Genomic DNA, 17,362 nt, shown 5'->3' with positions numbered 1-17,362 from the left:
TTTTTCTAGTTTGTGTGCATGCATGTGTATGTGTATGTAGTAAAACATTGTTCTTTGCTTTCTGAACTTTGTCCATAAGAAGTTGATCAAAATAACTTTTTTTTTTTTGAGACAGAGACTTGCTCTGTCACCAGGCTGGAGTGCAGTGGTGAGATGTTAGCTCACTGCAACCTCCGCCTCCCAGGTTCAAGCGATTCTCCTGCCTCAGCTTCCTGAGTAGCTGGGACTACAGGCGCGTGCCACAATGCCTGGCTAATTTTTTGTATTTTAGTAGAGACGGGGTTTCACCATGTTGGTGAGGCTGGTCTTGAACTCCCGACCTCAGGTGATCCACCTGCCTCAGCCTCCCAAAGTGCTGGGATTACAGGTGTAAGCCACCGTGCCGGCCAATCAAAAGAATATTTTTAGTGAATAGATATCTGTCTTTTCCTCCTGAGCTCACCTGAAGCAGAATAATACATAAATGTGTTATTTCGTGGCACTTGAATGGTTCTGGTGATATTAGACATTTCTAGAATCAAGTCAGCAGAGCCCCAGCATGTGCAGGGCCCTGAGCTGTGATCTCAGTACAGCCGGGCCTGGACCCTGGACCAGCAGGTAGCCTTTGGGTTGGTGAAACAGGTGTTTCCTTCCAGCGATGTGATCCAGGCACCCAGGAGGACACTGCCTCCGTGGTCCCAATCACACCTATCCCATTGACACTTCCCTCAGCTGTTCTAATGGGATGCAGGAAATTACTTTCACTGGAGGAGAGCTTCCTTTTACTTCATAATTAGTAGACAGAGACCCGGAAAAGAACCCACACAGGATGAGAGCTCGCATGCCCTGTCATGCCTAACCAAAGCCCTGCTGTAGAGACCAGGCCTTGTTAGAAGTTTGCAAGTAAGACCACCATGTTCCCCAAATTCTCCCCCCACACATTTAGCCCATGCCAGGCACTGTGCTAGGCACTGGGACATGGCAGTAAATAAAACAAAGTGCCGGCCTGGTGGAGTCTGTATCCCAGTAGGGAGGCAGTCAAGCAAAATACAATAACAGCAACAACAATCAAACTGATGTCAGTGCGTGAACAGTTCTATGGAAAAAAGTAAAGCATCATTAAAGGAAAGGAGTGGCAGGGACCTGGGGGTTCCATCGTCCATAGTGTGATGGGAAACGTCTCACTCATGAGGTCACACTTGGGCAAAGACATGAAGGAAATAGGCGACCGAGGCCAGCAGGTTCTTGGGGGAAAAGTATTCCAGGCAAAAGAAACAGCAAGTTCGAAGTTCCAGAAGCAGGAGGCAGCCAGGAGTGAAGAACCGCAGAAAGGCCAGCAAGGCAGGAACGGCCCGGCAAGGAGAACAGTCAGGTGCTGAAGGCAGGGGTCTTTGGCGACCAGGTCCAAACGGGCTTTGTGGGCTGGTGCTTTTACCCCCAGTGAGATAATAAACCACAGGAGGTTCTGAGAGGAGGAATGTGGTTAACTTGGGGGACTGAGGCGTGAACAGCCTCGGTATGGCCCCTGTGTTCAGGTGACACTCTAGGGGCCATGGCAGGAAGGAGGAGGTCAGGTGGGAGGTGAAGGCACTGGCCTAGACACAGGGAGGATGTTAGCATAAATCAGGTTGTGGCAGAGGTAGTACTATCTGGTGGGAGGTCTTCGATTTGATTCACTGACGGAAGAGATACGTGTTGTGGTAGAAAGAGAGAATACGTGTTTAGCCATTTGCTGAATGGACAGGTGCAGGTGAAGCGGGTTAGCAGGGCCTGTGGAGTTCGAGAAGCCTGTGAGGCAGCCAGGCCATGTCCAGGGGAGTGTCAGGAGCCGGAGGAAAGTTGTAGCTTGGGTATATAAATGTGGGTGTTGTATGCAAACAGGTGGAATTTGAGGCCGTGAGGCAAGACGAGGGTATCTGTGAGGCAAGATGAGAGTATCTGTGAAATACGGGCCATTAAAAAGGAGAAGACATTCAAGGACTGGGCCTTGAGGCATTTCAAAGTTAGAGGCTGGGGAGATGAGGAGGAAGAAGGAGAGGAAACTGAGGATGACCTGACAGAGAGGCAGGAGGACAACTGGGGAAGAAGGGCTCCCAGGAGGCCAAGTAAGAACGAGTTCAAGGGGAAGAAAGTGGAATCAACTGGGCTAAATTCTACTGCAAGTTCAAGTGGGCTGAGACCCGGAACTTGATATTGACCATGGGAGTGGAGCCATTGCTGACCTTGGTAGGAGTATTTTCAGTAGACTGGACAAAATGAATGCCTGATGCAAGTGGTTTAGACAGAATGGGAGGAGAACAGGTGAAGACAGTGAGTGTAGACAACCCTCTTGGGGGCTGTGGGGTTGAGAAGTGATACATGGATAAGAATTATACATGGATAGAAAGCAAATAACTGAGGAGTCAGGAAGTAGGGGTCTAGAGCTGGGAGGAGTCACAGCCTTGCCACAGCATAATTTATACCTGGTGAAGGGGAAGGCAGGGTGTGTGGCTGCAGATCCGGTGAGGTGGGTAGATGTGGTTGTGGGAGTGCCCAAGGCGAGAAGCTGTCTTCTGAAAGTGCAGTATCTCTTTTACAGTAAAGTAAGGAGCAAGGTCATCAGCTAAGAGTGAGGAGATGTTCAGGGTTTAAGGAGAGAGGGCACGATGTGAAATACATGAGGGAAAGAGAGGGCTAGGGACATACACAAAGTGCAGGATCTCCAGCCAGGCTAACCTACAGCCCGCCCAGCTTAGTGCTCGGGAACCTGGGAGAGACTACTCAGCCTCACCTGTGCTTCTCTACGGCTTAGTTCAGCTGTCCAGGTGCCGACATGGAGAAAGAGGAGAGGTGGATTTAACCAGGGCTGGGGTTTACCAGGCGGGTACGACACAGAGTGGGGGTCAAAGGAAGCAAAGCACATAGAAGGGAAGGGCTACGATGATGGACTCTGGAGCCCAGTGGGGTTAGGAGAAAAATGAGGGCATGAGGGAGGTAACAGATGTGAGCAGGAAATAGGAGCTACATATCGGAGGTCCCAGCGGTGTCAGGGAATCATTGAAGTCCCCGTACTAAAGGCACTGAAGGGGAAGGAGGAGGTGGGGGCTGGAGAACGTGACGCTTAAAACTGAGCCTGGGGCAGTGTAGTTTTGGGGTTATCAGTATTAAGTGCAGAGTGTGACTGTGGAAAAGAAGGGCTGAGGGAGAGTGGAGGATAAGATCATTTGAGCTGAGAGCAGAACCTGGAGCCACAGGGCTGGAAGAATTATCCACAGATGCTGAAATCGCTGAGAAATAGTGTTGGAGACCAGGAATATTGTTGGAAAACGTGGCTGTAATCCAGGTGCTGAAATCGTCAAGGAATTTGGGACAGCAGCCCAGGGGTCCGAACCAACCACAGCAAGGAGGGTGGGAGGCGATACAGTGGCCGGCACGCACTTCAGAGACTGGTGTTTTGTTGCTCCTGCTGCTGCTGGTGTTGGAGAGAGAGGAGAGAGGGAAGAAAATTCAAAGTACACAAAAGGTAGGGGTGACAAGGGCCTGGACCAGCGCCGTCCAACAGAAACACAACGTGGGCCACCTGTGCAAGTGAAGTTCTAATAGCCATGTTAAAGAAAGTAAAAAGAAACCAGCAAAATCCATTTTAATAACATACTTTATTTAGCCTAATGTGTTTAAAATATTATTTCAACACGTCATCAATACCAAAAATATGGATGAGGTATTTCATGTTCTTTTGCATGCATTAAGTCCCCCAGATGCAGCGGGTACTTCACTCTTGCAGTGCATCTCGCTTCAGATGAGCCTGGTTCCCTATGCTCAGGAGCCTCATGTGACTCGGGGCTGCCATGTTGGCCAACACAGGTAGACAGCCATGGCAAAACCAAAGTCGCTTATGCAAGGAAGCCAAGTGCTTTCATCTTTTAATTACAAACCTAAACCAAAGACCAGAGATGTAAATTCAGGACCTAATCCGAGTTTTTGAGGTTACTGACAAGATCCTCTTTCTGCCTCTGGTCCATGCCCTGGGATCTCTCATGGACCACATCCTTCAGCTGCAACTTCTTGCTGTGTGGAGAGAGCTCTCAGTTACCCCAGGTCACCTCCCCTTCTCTGTCACCCTGCTTGCTCATCCTAGATTCAAGGCATGCTCTATTTTTACTACTGACCCATTCTCCCAAGCGGCCTGTCCTACCCTTTCCTTTCACAATACCAGTTTCTATTTCTGTATTCAACTTTTCTTCTTTTCCCCAAAAGTTTCCAAATAAATTCACAAAATTCATCTGAGAAAGGTGTTTCAAATTGCATCTTCTTTCATTAATTTTTTTTTTTTTTTTAGAGATAGGGTCTTGCTCTGTTGCCCAGGCTAGAGTGCAGCTGTGTGGTCGTAACTAATTGCAGGTTGAACTCCTGGGCTCAGGTGACACTCCTGCCTCAGTCTCCCAAATCACTGGGACTACAGGTGCATGCTACCACACCTGGCTTGTGTTTTATTTTTATTTTTGTAGAGATGGGATCTTGCTATGTTCATACCCAAGACATTTCTCCTTGTAACAGAGCAGAGTTAAAATTTTTTAATTAAAAAAAAAGTTTAGAGATAGTCTCACTCTGTTGACCAGGCTAGAGTACAATGGTGCAATCATAGCTCACTGCAGCTTCAAATGCCTAGGCCCAAGCAATCCTCCCCTCTCAGCCTCCTGAACAGCTAGGACAACAGGCATGCACCATCACACCTGGCTAATTTTGTTTTTAATTTTTTGTAGTGTTGCCAGGCTGGTCTCAAACTCCTGACCTCAAGCAATCCCCCTGCTTCGGCCTCCCAAAGTGCTGGGATTACAGGTGAGAGCCACTGTGCCTGGCCTCAGAGTTAAAATTCTATCTTATTGACTGTTGTGGACGGAATTGTGTTCCTTTCCAAAATTCATATGTTGAAGTCCTAATCCTCAATGTGACTCTATTCGGTGATAGGGCCTTGTAGGGAGGTAATTATGGCTAAATAAGGTCCTAAGAGTGGGGCCCTAATCCAATAGAAGTGGTGTCCTTGTAAGAAGGGGAAGAGACATAAGAGATCTCTCTCTGTGAGGGCACAGAGGAAAAGCCATGTACGGACAGAGGGAGAAGGCAGCCTTCTGCAAACCAGGAGGAAAGCCCTCACCAGACCAGCCCTGACGGTGCCTCGATCTTGGACTTCTGGCCTCCAGAACTGTCAGAAAATAAATTTCTGTTGTGTAAGTCACCCAGTCCATAGTATTTTGTTATGGCAGTCAGAGCAGCCTAATACACCCACTAAACAGCAAACTCCTTGAAACCAGGACCTTATCCTTTTTGCATCTGAATCTCCAACACTTGCACACAGTAGGCATTTAATAAATACTTATCAAACTGTTTCAAGAAATAAAGCCCATTATAACAGTTCTAAGAATACACTCTGCTTCCCCACGAGAGAAAACCACCACTTTCAGTGCAGGGCATCACACTGAATAAACATGGGTTTCTAATGGTTAGAGCACAACTCATGAAGCACATACAGTACTCAGGCAGACTTTGATCATGATGCGGATTTTAGTCATGATTGGAATGCACATAAAAAATTCCATTAAAACTAGTTCTCATTCAAAAACGAATCATAATCCTCCAAATTGTTTTTATAGCGGGGTTCTATTTAAACAAACACATTGCTAAAAATCACATTCCCAGTCTTACCCAACCAACTGAGTTTCGGTCTCTGAAGTGAAATAGCAGATGGCGAGAAATGCCTTGACAACAGCCGGCCCTACGTGCTCGTCACCCTAGCCCTTTCCTCCCCCAGCTCCTTGGTCATTTTGTGGATTCTTCAACTCTGTCGGTGGATGACTGACGGGGATATTTGAGGTTGGGAAGTGTGAGGAGAGTAGAAGGGTAATTGCTGCTAGCTGACAAAACAGTCTAGCTCAGAATAATTTAGTGTTGGCTCAGTGAGCCTTCCCCAACAGCAGAGAGAAGACCACACAGTTGAGATCTCAGAAAGCCATGCAGACGAGGTAGGCACTTGCACTGCAGGGTGAATCAGTAGGGTAACTTCTCTCTGGGTCAACTCAATTCTAGGACCAGAGGCTCTCTGCCCAGACATGCCAAACATTTTTCATTTTTATTATTATTATTTTTTGACATGGAGTCTCATTCTATCGCCCAGGCTGGACTGCAGTGTCGCGATCTCGTCTCACTGCAACCTCTCCCACCCGAGTTCAAGCGATTCTCCTGCCTCAGCCTCCCGAGTAGATGAGAATACAGGCACCTGCCACCAGACCCAGCTAATTTTTGTATTTTTAGTAGAGACGGGGTTTCACCATCTTGGCCAGACTGGTCATGAACTCCTGACCTCGTGATCCACCCGCCTAGGCCTCCCAAAGTGCTGGGATTACAGGCATGAGCTACCGCGCCCGGCCTCATTATCTTTTGTTTTGTTTTGTTTTGAAACAGTGTCTTGCTCTGTTGCCCAAACTGGAGTGCAGTGGTGCAGTCATAGCTCACTGCAGCCTTGACTTCCTGGGCTCAAGTGATCCTCCCACCTCAGCCTCCTGAGTAGCTGGGACTACAGGCACTCACGACCATGACAGCTAATTTTTGTTGTCGTTGTTGTTTATTTCTTACAGAGATGGGGTCTCACCATGTTGCCTAGGCTGGTCTCAAACTCCTGGGCTCAAGCCATCCTCCTGCCTCAGCCTCCCAAAGTTCTGGGATTACAGGCATCAGCCACCACACCCGGCCACCAATCATTTTTCTTACACAGCACTTGCATTTGCAGGGATGCATGTTTACCTGGCAGTGACAGCCTGGGGTGGAGGGATAGCTCATCCTGACAGCCCTCAGTGGCCCCTGGAGTGGTCAGTTACACTGCAATGGAAACCTCAGTTGGGAACAGATTGCAAAGACAGCCAAGGAGGTGACAGCACCACGACTGGTCAGCATTACTGGCAGCATCACAGAGCATCTTCCCTCCTCTCTTTCTTCTCACGAAAGAGATGTCTAGGGAGAAAGAAATAAGTTAGACTGTGAGAATATCGCAGTGTGGGGCTCTTGGGGCCAAAGCACCTTTCCTTCCATCCTAGCTTTGGAGCCTTGAAATCAGCTTGGGAGGCTGATAAGGATGACATCATTGCCCCCTTTTTAGAGGGAAAAACCTAAGGATTAAAAAACATGCCAGGCTCAGAGCCACCGTTTTGCACAGCCCAAGGGCCTACCAACTGCCTTTGCTCCAGTGTGTCTGGTGCTCCCTGGGTCCTGCAGGGCTGTAGTGCCCAGAAACTTATGTGGATCTTAATCACAGTGCTGGCCAGGCAGAAATCCAGGTCACTTGACTTCTGACCATGAGCTGAGACAGTAAGAAGAAAGAAGAAGAAGGGAGAAGGGAGGAGAAGGAGAAGAAGGGAGAAGGGGAAGGAGAAGCAGGGAGAAGGAGAAGGAACGAGGAGGAGGAGGAAGAGGGAGGAGGAGGAAGAGGGAGGAGGATGAAGGAGGAGGAAGAGGGAGGAGGAGGAAGAGGAAGGAGGAGGGAGGAGGAGGAAGAGGGAGGAGGAAGAAGAGGGAGGAGGAGGAAGGAGGAGGAAGAGGAAGGAGGAACAGGGAAAAGGAAGAGGAGGTAGGAGGAGGAAGAGGCAGGAGGAGGGAGGAGGAGGGAGGAGGAGGAAGAAGGAGGAGGAGGAGGAGGAGGAGGAGGAGGAGTCTGGAAATCACTGTTCTACCAAACCCCTCAACTTTACAGGACAGTGAGTGGTTGTTGGAGAGCCTGTGAGGCAGGCCAACCTTCACAACCAGTTTGAGAAGCCCTGTGGCCCAGCGTGCCTGATCTTAGCCCGGAGCTCTCTCCATTACACTCTGGGGCCTAATCCTATTTTTAAGACTTTACTGTTTACAGCCTCTCTATACTTAAGTTTTTGAATCTAGTCTGCCTCTAACCTTTCCTATTTAAGGAATTAAAGTCACCATATTGTAGGGAATATTTTTTATTAAGACGTGTTTAGGCTGGGTGGAGTGGCTCACACTTGTAATCCCAGCACTTTGGGAGACTGAGGCAGGCAAATTACCTGAGGTCAGGAGTTCAAGACCAGCCTGGCCAACATGGTAAAACGCTGTCTCTACTAAAAATACAAAAATTATCCGGGCGTGGTGGCATGTACTTGTAATCCCAGATACTCGGAAGCAGAGGCAGGAGAACCACTTGAACCCCGGAGACAGAGGATGCAGTGAGCCAAGATCGCGCCACTGCACTCTAGCCTGGCCAACAGAGTGAGACTCCATCTCAAAAAAGAAAAAAAAAAGACTTGTTTAATTTCTAGTTGTGACTTTGCCACTATGTGGTCTCTGCATGTGAAGTAGTCCACTGTGAAGCAGTCCGCAGGGACTGATCAAACCACACCTGCCTGTTCAAAGAGCTCTGCCATCAAAAAAATGATTACCCTGAAACCACCTTTGCAAAAATTATAACAGTGAGAAAATTATGACAGTGTGAGATCTCACCTAACTGATTCCATCTTGCTTCTAAACTCTAAGCTGCCCCTGTTCATTCCTGATCATAGCCTGAACTAACTTTGGGAGAAACTTAGTTTATAGTTTAACTTTGAAACAAAGACAATAACAGCCCTTTCCCAAAACAAACCCACTTCTTGCCTGGGTACCAGAATGCCTTTGTAAGACTAACAAGTTAGGCACAAGATTCAAAATTATGGTTTAGGAGTCATGCAGCCAGAGGCCACAAGATTCTCTACCTCCCCATTACTCCTAGGGATAACATCACTGTTGTAAAATCTGTTATTTGTGCTCAAGACATTTTTCAGACCCTGCATTCTGATGCACCAGCTGGTGCCACTCAGACAGATAATCTGCCTCAACCGGTTCTGTGATCCCACCCAGAAACAGAAGACCGCAAAAACAAACTGCTTGAACTTCCTGTGACTTCATCCTCCAACCTGACCAATCAGCACTCCACATTCCCTGGTGCCCTACACACCAAATTATCCTTAAAAAAAACCCCAGTCTCCGGCCGGGGGTGGTGGCTCAGGCCTGTAATCCCAGCACTTTGGGAGGCCGAGGCGGGCGGATCACAAGGTCAGGAGATCGAGACCATCCTGGCTAACATGGTGAAACCCCGTCTCTACTAGAAATACAGAAAAATTAGCCGGGCGTGGTGGCGGACGCCTGTAGTCCCAGCTGCTTGGGAGGCTGAGGCAGGAGAATGGCGTGAACCCGAGAGGCGGAGCTTGCAGTGAGCCAAGAACGAGCCACTGCACTCCAGCCGGGGTGACAGATCAAGACTCCGTCTCAAAAACAAACAAACAAACAAACAAACAAACAAAAAAACCCAGTCTCTGGATTTTCAGGGAGACTGATTTGAGTGGTAAAACTCTGGTCTCTAGTTTAGCTGGCTCTGTATGAATTAAACTCTTTCTCTATTGCAATTCCCCCGTCTTGATAAATCGGCTCTGTCTGGGCAGCAGGCAAAGAGAACCCTTTAGGCAGTTACAGTCCCAGCAGGGCTCATTTTATAGCCTCTTTAATCTTAACACAAAATGGGGATATTTTCTTTTAAATGTTTATCGCCTTTCTTCTAATTTTAAAGCAGTATGTGCTCATTGAAGAAAATTCAGAAAATCCACACATACAACTACTATTAAAAATTAACCAGATTCAACATTTAGGATATTCCATTGGTCTTTGTTCAATGTCTTACACACGCTCGTTTTTAAAATTGAGATTGCATTTTATAATCTTTTGGTATCCTTTCTTTCTACCTTTTTTTACTCAGTATCATATTGTAAACATTTACTCATGTCAGTATATACTCTAAAAGTATGACTTCAGTATCACTAACTGAAGGTCTCATGATTTATTTGTTTATTTATTTATATATTTATAATTTTGAGACAGGGTCTCACCCTGTCAACCAGGCTGGAGTGCAGCAGTGAGATCACAGCTCACTGCAGCCTCTATCTCCTGGGCTTAAGTGAGCCTCCCAGGTAGCTGGGACTAGAGCACTTGCCACCATGCCAGCTGAGTTTTTGTATTTTTTGTAGAGACAGGGTTTTCCCATGTTGCCCAGGATGGTCTCAAACTCTTGGACTCAACTGATTCTCCTGTCTTGGCCTCCCGCAGTGCTGGGATTACAGGCGTGAGCCTCTGTGCCCAGCTTTCATTATTCATTTTTAATAATCCCCTAGCCTTGGACATATCCATTTGCTGCTGATTTTTCACCGCTATTTTTAAAAACAAAGCACCGTAATGAATTCATATGGATGCAAATTTTGTGCACATCTCTAATTATTCCCCTAGGACATATTTCTAAAAGTGGAATTGCTAGACCAAAGGGTATAAACGTTCTTCAAGATTTAAATGTGTATTAACAAACTGTCATCCAAAATAACCATGCCAATTATATTAATACCAACATCAACAGTATATAAAGTTTTTTTCACAGCATATATATGTTTCTTTTTCTACAACATCTTCAGTTTCTTAAATTCCCAAATTTGATAGATGATAAAAGATACCTTGTTTTAATTTGCATTTATTTGATTCCTAATGAGGTTGGACATTCTTTTATGTTAACGGTTACTTGTATTTTTTGATGGATTGTTTTTTCATACTCTATGTCCATTTCTTTTATTGAACTGCAAGAAACATTTGTAAATATGGCAATTTGTTATATGTTATACGTTACAACATATGTATATGTTATATTTTTCCCCAGCAACTGGAGTATTTTATAAAAGACATGAAAGGATGCGGCTTGGAGTTTTCTTAAAAACACTTTCTTATTGGTAAAGTCAGACCATCCTGTGCTGATCATTAAGACTTAGAGCTTGAAAAAATCATGCAGATACTGCAAACCACCCCCTTGTTTTTCCAGGTGAGGAAATTAACTCAGGACTAGTCCAAGGTTACATACTTAGTAACAAAGGCAGCAGCAGAGCCTGGATTGCCCCAGGTCCAAATTGGCACTATTTCTAGCCCTCCCCTGCCCCACCCAACATACACACACACCAGCTCATTGTCAACAGTCCGTCTATGTGTGAAGTTCACACACCCATTCATGGGGCTGTCAGGACTTTTGGAACATTTATTAACGGCTTTTATGTCGCCAGAAGCAACCGCACAATCAACTGGGTTGTTAGTAATTAAGATCCTTAAAAGATGGAGTTTTTAATTTATCAAAGGATGGATCTTATTTATCAAAGAATGGATTTTTATTTATTAAAGCACCACCTACCCAATACCAAACCCATAACCAAAACAACACAAACACACAGGAATGAGTTGTTTTCAGAAATATTGTCTCTGTTTTCACTTTCTTCTGTGAAACAGAGTGGCTCCTAGCTATCACTATTATCAATAAACACATCTATTGATGAAGGACACCATGCTTCACCATTATGGGTAAAGATAATTGATGTCAGAGGGGGCAATTCAGGCATGTCCTTTCATCAGAACAAATAAGAGAAAGGAGCCAGTGCATTCAACAGCGCAGCGCTCTCAGCCAAGTCCTCTAGAAGCAGGTGAGACAAGATCTGGGGCTCGAGCCCCTCCCCAATGCATGAATGTTGCTATGGAACCCCACTTCACGTCTCCTCGCCTCTTGTCTCCGAGATGATGCCAGAGCCTAGCATATTTCTTCCCTCTGGCTCTCCTCCTGCTTTCCTGCAGTTCTTCTTCTTTCTCCTTCGCTGGATCTCTTCTTACACTGCCCTTTGCACCTTGGAGTTCCACCAGGCTCCATTCTTTTTTTTTTTTTTTTTTTTTGAGACAGGGTCTCACTCTGTCGCCCAGGCTGGAGTGCAGTGGTGCCATCTCCACTCAATTCAGCCTCCGCCTCCCGGGTTCAAGTGATTCTCCTGCCTCAGCCTCCCAAGTAGCTGGGACTACAGGCACCCGCCACCACATCTGACTAATTTTTTGGTATTTTTAGTAGAAACGGAGTTTTGCCGTGTTGGCCAGTCTGCAGGCTCCGTTCTCGACCCTCTTCCCTTCCTACTCCACAGACTCTCCTTGGGTGGTCTTGTTCAATCCCACCATTTCAACCATCACCATTTTCTGATGAAATCCAAATGCACAGCTTTAGCTCACACATCTCCCCAGCATGTCAGACCCATATACCCAAATGTCCTGGGTATCTCCAACTGAGCCTCATCAGGTGGCAGAGCAGTCTCAGTGGGCCAAAACAGCAATCCAACCTTCCCCGCTGGTCCACACTTCCTCCAATATGCCTAATAGCCTTCCAACACAAAAAACTGGACACTTTACCATAATCTTGTATGTCCCCTGCCCTAGTGCCTAGAATCAGCCATTTCTCCAAGGAGCCCTGGTTCCTTTCAGTAAATAATTATATTTAGAAGCCAAGATCTGGGTGTAAAATGTGCTCATTGCATGGAGGCTGTCGCTGCTCCCAGCCCCTCTCAGTGGCAGGGCTAAGGAATATATGTACATAGATAACATTTATGTATAGTCATACATACACACACCTATGGCTGTATTTCTATGTCTTTTTATATCTTTATAAAATATATACATATAATCATAAATTGACACCAATATCTCCAGTTTTGACCCACCACCAGTGAATTCATTTGAGTTTTCTCCCTCTCCATATTTGTAACTCCCTTCTCTGAGAAACCTGGCTCCCTTGGCCCTCTATGCATTTACTCATTTGATCAACCCACCTATGAATGGTTGCCTATGTCTGCCACTGCTCTTCCCCTGCCCCTGCACAGATGCCCTCCTCACTTTGTTGGGCCCTTTTACTTCCTGTTGGACCAGTGCTCCCCCTGCCCCCTACCCTGAGACACAGACCTCACACTGCAGGAGCTCCAACACCCAGCACCAGTTCCCTGTACCCCCCATGCAGATATCCTGCCCTGCCCAGCACTGACATCCCCTGCCATGTCACCACTGCCACTGCCCTCACCCCGGCGTGGCTGCCCCCATGGGGATGATCCTTGCCTATTCAGGCTCCAGCACCTCACACAAGACACCATAAGCCAGGGTGACCATGGTGGAAAGTAGGACTTAACACCCACCACCTTCCTGCAAAACTCAAAGAATTGTGGGCAGTATCGCATCTGAATGCAGAAGAGACTTTTGAGAAGAGGGGTTTTGACATTGATCAAAGTACAGTGCAGAGGCCACAGCCTATTCTGCTTGTGCCTACGGCTGCTTGGCCTGGGAGCTGCACTTTCAGTCAAACTGACCATGAGAGGCAAGTCCTCCATCAAGCAGATTAACCCCACTGGGTCTCAACTGCTTCACATGCTGGCATTTTAATGTAGTTTGAAAGGCTGGGGTATAAGAAATGCTAGAGATTGAACAGCACTTTGCCAATATGAGTCTCATGGAAATGCCAAACTGAGATAATGAATCAACAAGCAGGGAAAACAAGCATGGTGGTTTCCATTGATGTGTAAGGATGTGGGCTTTGCAGAGCCTGTGTCCTGCCAGGTCCACCTGAGATTGCTGGCTGCAATTACCTCTCAATGAAAGTGAGAGGAACAGATGGGTGGTGGAGCTGATAGAAAAAACAAGGAGACTCAGAGTCAGCAGAGAGTTCTAAATGCCATACATTTATGCTGCTCAAGTGTTCTCTAGAGACCTCAGAAGCAAACAACCCCTTCCACATTCCCATTCAGTTGAGCACAGTCCTTCCATGGCCCCAGATACCCAGCCTAGGACATCACTCTTAGAAGAAAGAAAGAGGGGGCTGGGGAGAAAGGCAGGGAGAAAAAAGGAAAGAGAGAAAAGCCAATAAAACTCAGGCTGGGGGAGTGGGCCATCTGAAAGCGCCTGTTGTTCCCAGGCAACTTAAAAGACAGCCTGACCCTAGGCTGGATTTCTAGGTGTGCAGATCCAGAGAAAAGGGCAAATTCTTCCCTGTGTGTGTGTGCAGTCACCTGGACAAACAGAAACCCATTTGTGAGATGGAATTTCCATGGCAGGCAAGGGCTCCGATGGGAATGTACAGGGCAGGACCATCTGTCCTGGTATTAAATGCATCATTCCCGTCTTCCCCACACTAGGGCCATCTGTACGCAGAAGCAGAGACTTCTTGCTCCCTTTCCAAACATACCACAGGATCAATTTAGAGCCCTGGTCTAAAAGGGGGGAAGGTGATTTTGTCCCCTAAGGGATGTTTGGCATGCCTGAAGATATTTTTGGTTGTCACAATGGAGAGGAGTGTGCTACTGGTATCTAGTTGGTAGAGGCCAGAGATGCTGCTAAACATCCTATAATATACAAGACAGCCCACACGGCAAAGAATTACCCAGCCCAAAATGCCAGTAGTGCCGAGGCCGTGGCACTCTGCTAGAGGCCAGCTTCTTACCACCTTTTTACTGCTGCACCCATAGCAATCTAACAACACACTATACATTCTCTCACCAAATTACTCCTAAGTATCCTGGCTGGGAAGTGTTGCTAAGACGCTCATACCAAAGATCAAGACTGGGCAGGAGATTCCTTTTAACAGACATCTTGTCACCAAAGGAATGCATACGGCTTCATAAGCAACAGAAGCTAATACTGATGCCAGTGCCCACTAAGGAAAAATGAAGAAAAATCAATACAGCTTGCCCCTGTGATGCCAAAGAGCTGATAGCCAAGTGATTTCTCCAGAGGAATCAAATTCAGTAACAACTCTTTCAAACCTCAACTTCTTTATCATTCATAAGCTTTCATTAAGCAGCCTTGAAAACCTCCAAGTCCACCATTCAAACTGTGAATTGATCCTAAGATTCTTTCCCCTGCAACGAGTTAAAAAAGAAAACGCTACTGCGAAGTTTCAACCCTGAAGTTGAAAAACAATGTCTGGGAACAGTTAACTCAGCAAAGAAGTAAATTTTCCAAAACAAAGGCAGGAGGAAAGAGAAGTTTTTGCCAACACACACCAACGGCAAACATCTAACACACCGAAAAAAATAAAAGAAAGAAAAACCAGCACAGAAAAGAGTTATCCAAGAAATAGCTTTTTAAAGAGAGAAAATCTTACTCTGGTTGTCAAGGACAGCTAAGCAATGAAAAACTGGGACGCAGACTCACTGGTGTCATTTGCTCAGGAAGGGTCAGACGTGGCCAACAGGTTGGCTGCCCCTTCACATCTGGGGCATCAATGCCCAGCCAGCCTGCAGGGTCTCCGGTCCCAACATCTCGAAGGATGGCTGCAGCCTCTCATCTCTGAAGGAATCAGAGCTGCTCTCCCACTGCTGAAAATATTTGAGATGTGCCAAGCAGATGGTCCCACGCTTATCAGCAGAAGCTTCCAATGGCATCATTCAGTGACACACTCAAGTGAAAATCTTCACGCCAATCCAGAGCGGGGTGTGAGCTGGTGATAATGCAAGGCAGTGGATCACCTTGAACCACTAAGGCCAGCCAGGGCTAAAGAGAAAGATGACGTGGAGAAATGCCACATGGAAGGGCAAAACCGCATGTGTAGTAGAAAGACAGAACCATCTCAAATTCCCAGCTCAGTTTCTAATAAGTTATGTGACCTCTGCCAAGCTCTCTAAGACTTGGTTTTCTCATCTGTAAAATGGAGCTAATAATATTAACTCAAAACCTAGTAATGATGAGATGAGTCTATGTATAGACCCAGAGAGACATACGGGAGACACATGGCTAGATAGTTAAGGATTTGTTCCCTTCTCCAACCCAGTTTCGGAGAGTATCATGCTCAGTGTAGTATATAAGACCCGTAGGATGCTATGAAAAGCAAGCAAGCCAAGGAGTGTGTTCAGGGGTGAAGGCAGGGGTCTGCACCATTGGCCATGCCCAGACTGCGTCCCAGCCTGGTCCGGGGGCTCCTCCTGGGAGTAGCTGTTTCTGTTAGATGCCAACTCTCACCCGTGCAGTCAGGAACATGAGAGCAAATTCCTTTTCCCCGATCCCTGTTCTGCATTTTTTGTGTTTTTGTTGTTGTTGTTGTTTGGTTAGGTTTTTTGTTTTTCTACCTTTTAAAAACCAAAAATGGCCAATATGTTACCCATTTTTCAAATAACTCAATGTGAAGCCCCAAAGGCTGAGAATTCTGGATCTCTTGGATCTCAGGTAGCCAAGTCTGAGATCCCAAGCCTGAAGACCCACCCCTCACTCAGGGTAGCATTTTCTCTTGTTTAAAGGGATTCCTTCATAGATATTGTGCCAAAGTATTAAGAACCTCGGGGACCAACTATATCAAAAGGGGTAAGAAGGCAGTTTCAGACTCTGTGGGAAAGCAGACATAGGAACCCACAGATGAAGTTCCCCTCCGACTGTTTTCGTAAGCAGGAAGACCATAGTCCCAGGGCAGAGCCAAACTACTCTTGTGGGAAGCCTGACCAGCAGCTCGGCCCTCCCAGTGGGAAGAAGAAAGGGGAGAGAAGAGAGCTTCCCCTGAAGCCAGCAGGCATCTACTGGGTAGGCAGTGCTGAGCAGCAAATCAACAGACCAGGTGAACTCGGTCTTGAAGTTGGAAAGGTGTTCTCATTACCTGGTTCTGATGCTCCAAGGAAGGAGAAGTTCAGCCTCCTGAAGAACTTTAGTTTCCCAGAGGATGGTCAGAAACTAAAAAGGAAACAGGCACCATCTAAAGCAGACTGCAAGGCAGAAAAGAAGGAGCACGGGTGGGAAAGGATCAGACCCACGGAAGAAAACATGATTAGGGAAAAATAAGAGGCTGCCCAGGAAGCTTCCAATCCCAGCAGGGGAGGAATTGATCCCGAAGGAAATGAGGGATGAAGGAGATGGGATACGACAGAGGGATCCTCTCTGCTCCACATTCGCTGCTTCTCAGATCAGGGGCTGCCCAGATGTTATGAACATTTCACCCTGTCCCCATGGGTGCTGTGAAACCCTGCGCAGAGTGACCAACTAGAAGGAGGACTCCAACGTCATTATGTAAGTCAACAGAACAGAGGTCCTCACCAATTTGCTTTTTCCAGTGCCTAACAGAAGTCTGTCCACACGGGCAGAGGACAACAAGCTGCCCAATTTGGAAATTGATAATGGTCCCAAGGTGAATGAAGAGCAAGCCGCCAGGAAGCCAGGGTGGCCCGATGGCTTCTAGGTAGGGAGAGAGTCTCCAAAGGGGTTGGTGGCCGGCCGGGAGAGTCAGAAAGAGGTGGCTCTCTTTGCCCCCAGCTTGAGTGGGTGGCGGAAGGCCCCAGTTGTTTTGTGACTAATTGGCACCACTAACAAAGCAGGAACTATCACAGATGGAGCTGGAGTCGCATTTTTGGTAGATAATGATTTATCCTTAGAGAAAATACAGCAACTCACTGTAAAAATAAAACTGCTTGCATTTAAGCCACAAATAGGTTGGCTATTTCTGTGCTTGGTTTGTCTTTGTGAGTAATCATTCTCCCCTTCAGAGGTGGGCAGAGTTTGAGGGGAAGGAGGTGTAGCAAGA

General features: G+C 46.8%; 1 protein-coding gene across 3 annotated transcripts in view; it reads right to left on the bottom strand.

The window, feature by feature from the left end:
• MAS1 (MAS1 proto-oncogene, G protein-coupled receptor) overlaps positions 1–17,362 on the bottom strand; it is a 28,661-nt gene extending 11,299 nt beyond the window's left edge. Inside the window, exons 1-3 of one of the 3 annotated variants that reach the window (XM_047418776.1) lie at positions 16,879–17,362; positions 16,445–16,518; positions 6,757–6,963 (exon numbers count right to left, since the gene is read on the bottom strand). The gene's annotated coding sequence lies outside the window, so the exon portion shown is untranslated. Of the gene's footprint in view, positions 1–6,756; positions 6,964–14,965; positions 15,162–16,444; positions 16,519–16,878 lie in introns of those variants that run through there. The other 2 variants (NM_002377.4, NM_001366704.2) reach the window with 2 other exon arrangements.

This window comes from Homo sapiens, chromosome 6 (genome assembly GCF_000001405.40).
Source record: "Homo sapiens chromosome 6, GRCh38.p14 Primary Assembly".
NCBI classification, from domain to species: Eukaryota; Metazoa; Chordata; class Mammalia; order Primates; family Hominidae; genus Homo; species Homo sapiens.
Note: the sequence above shows the minus strand (reverse complement) of the source record. Positions and strands in the feature narration are given on the sequence as shown.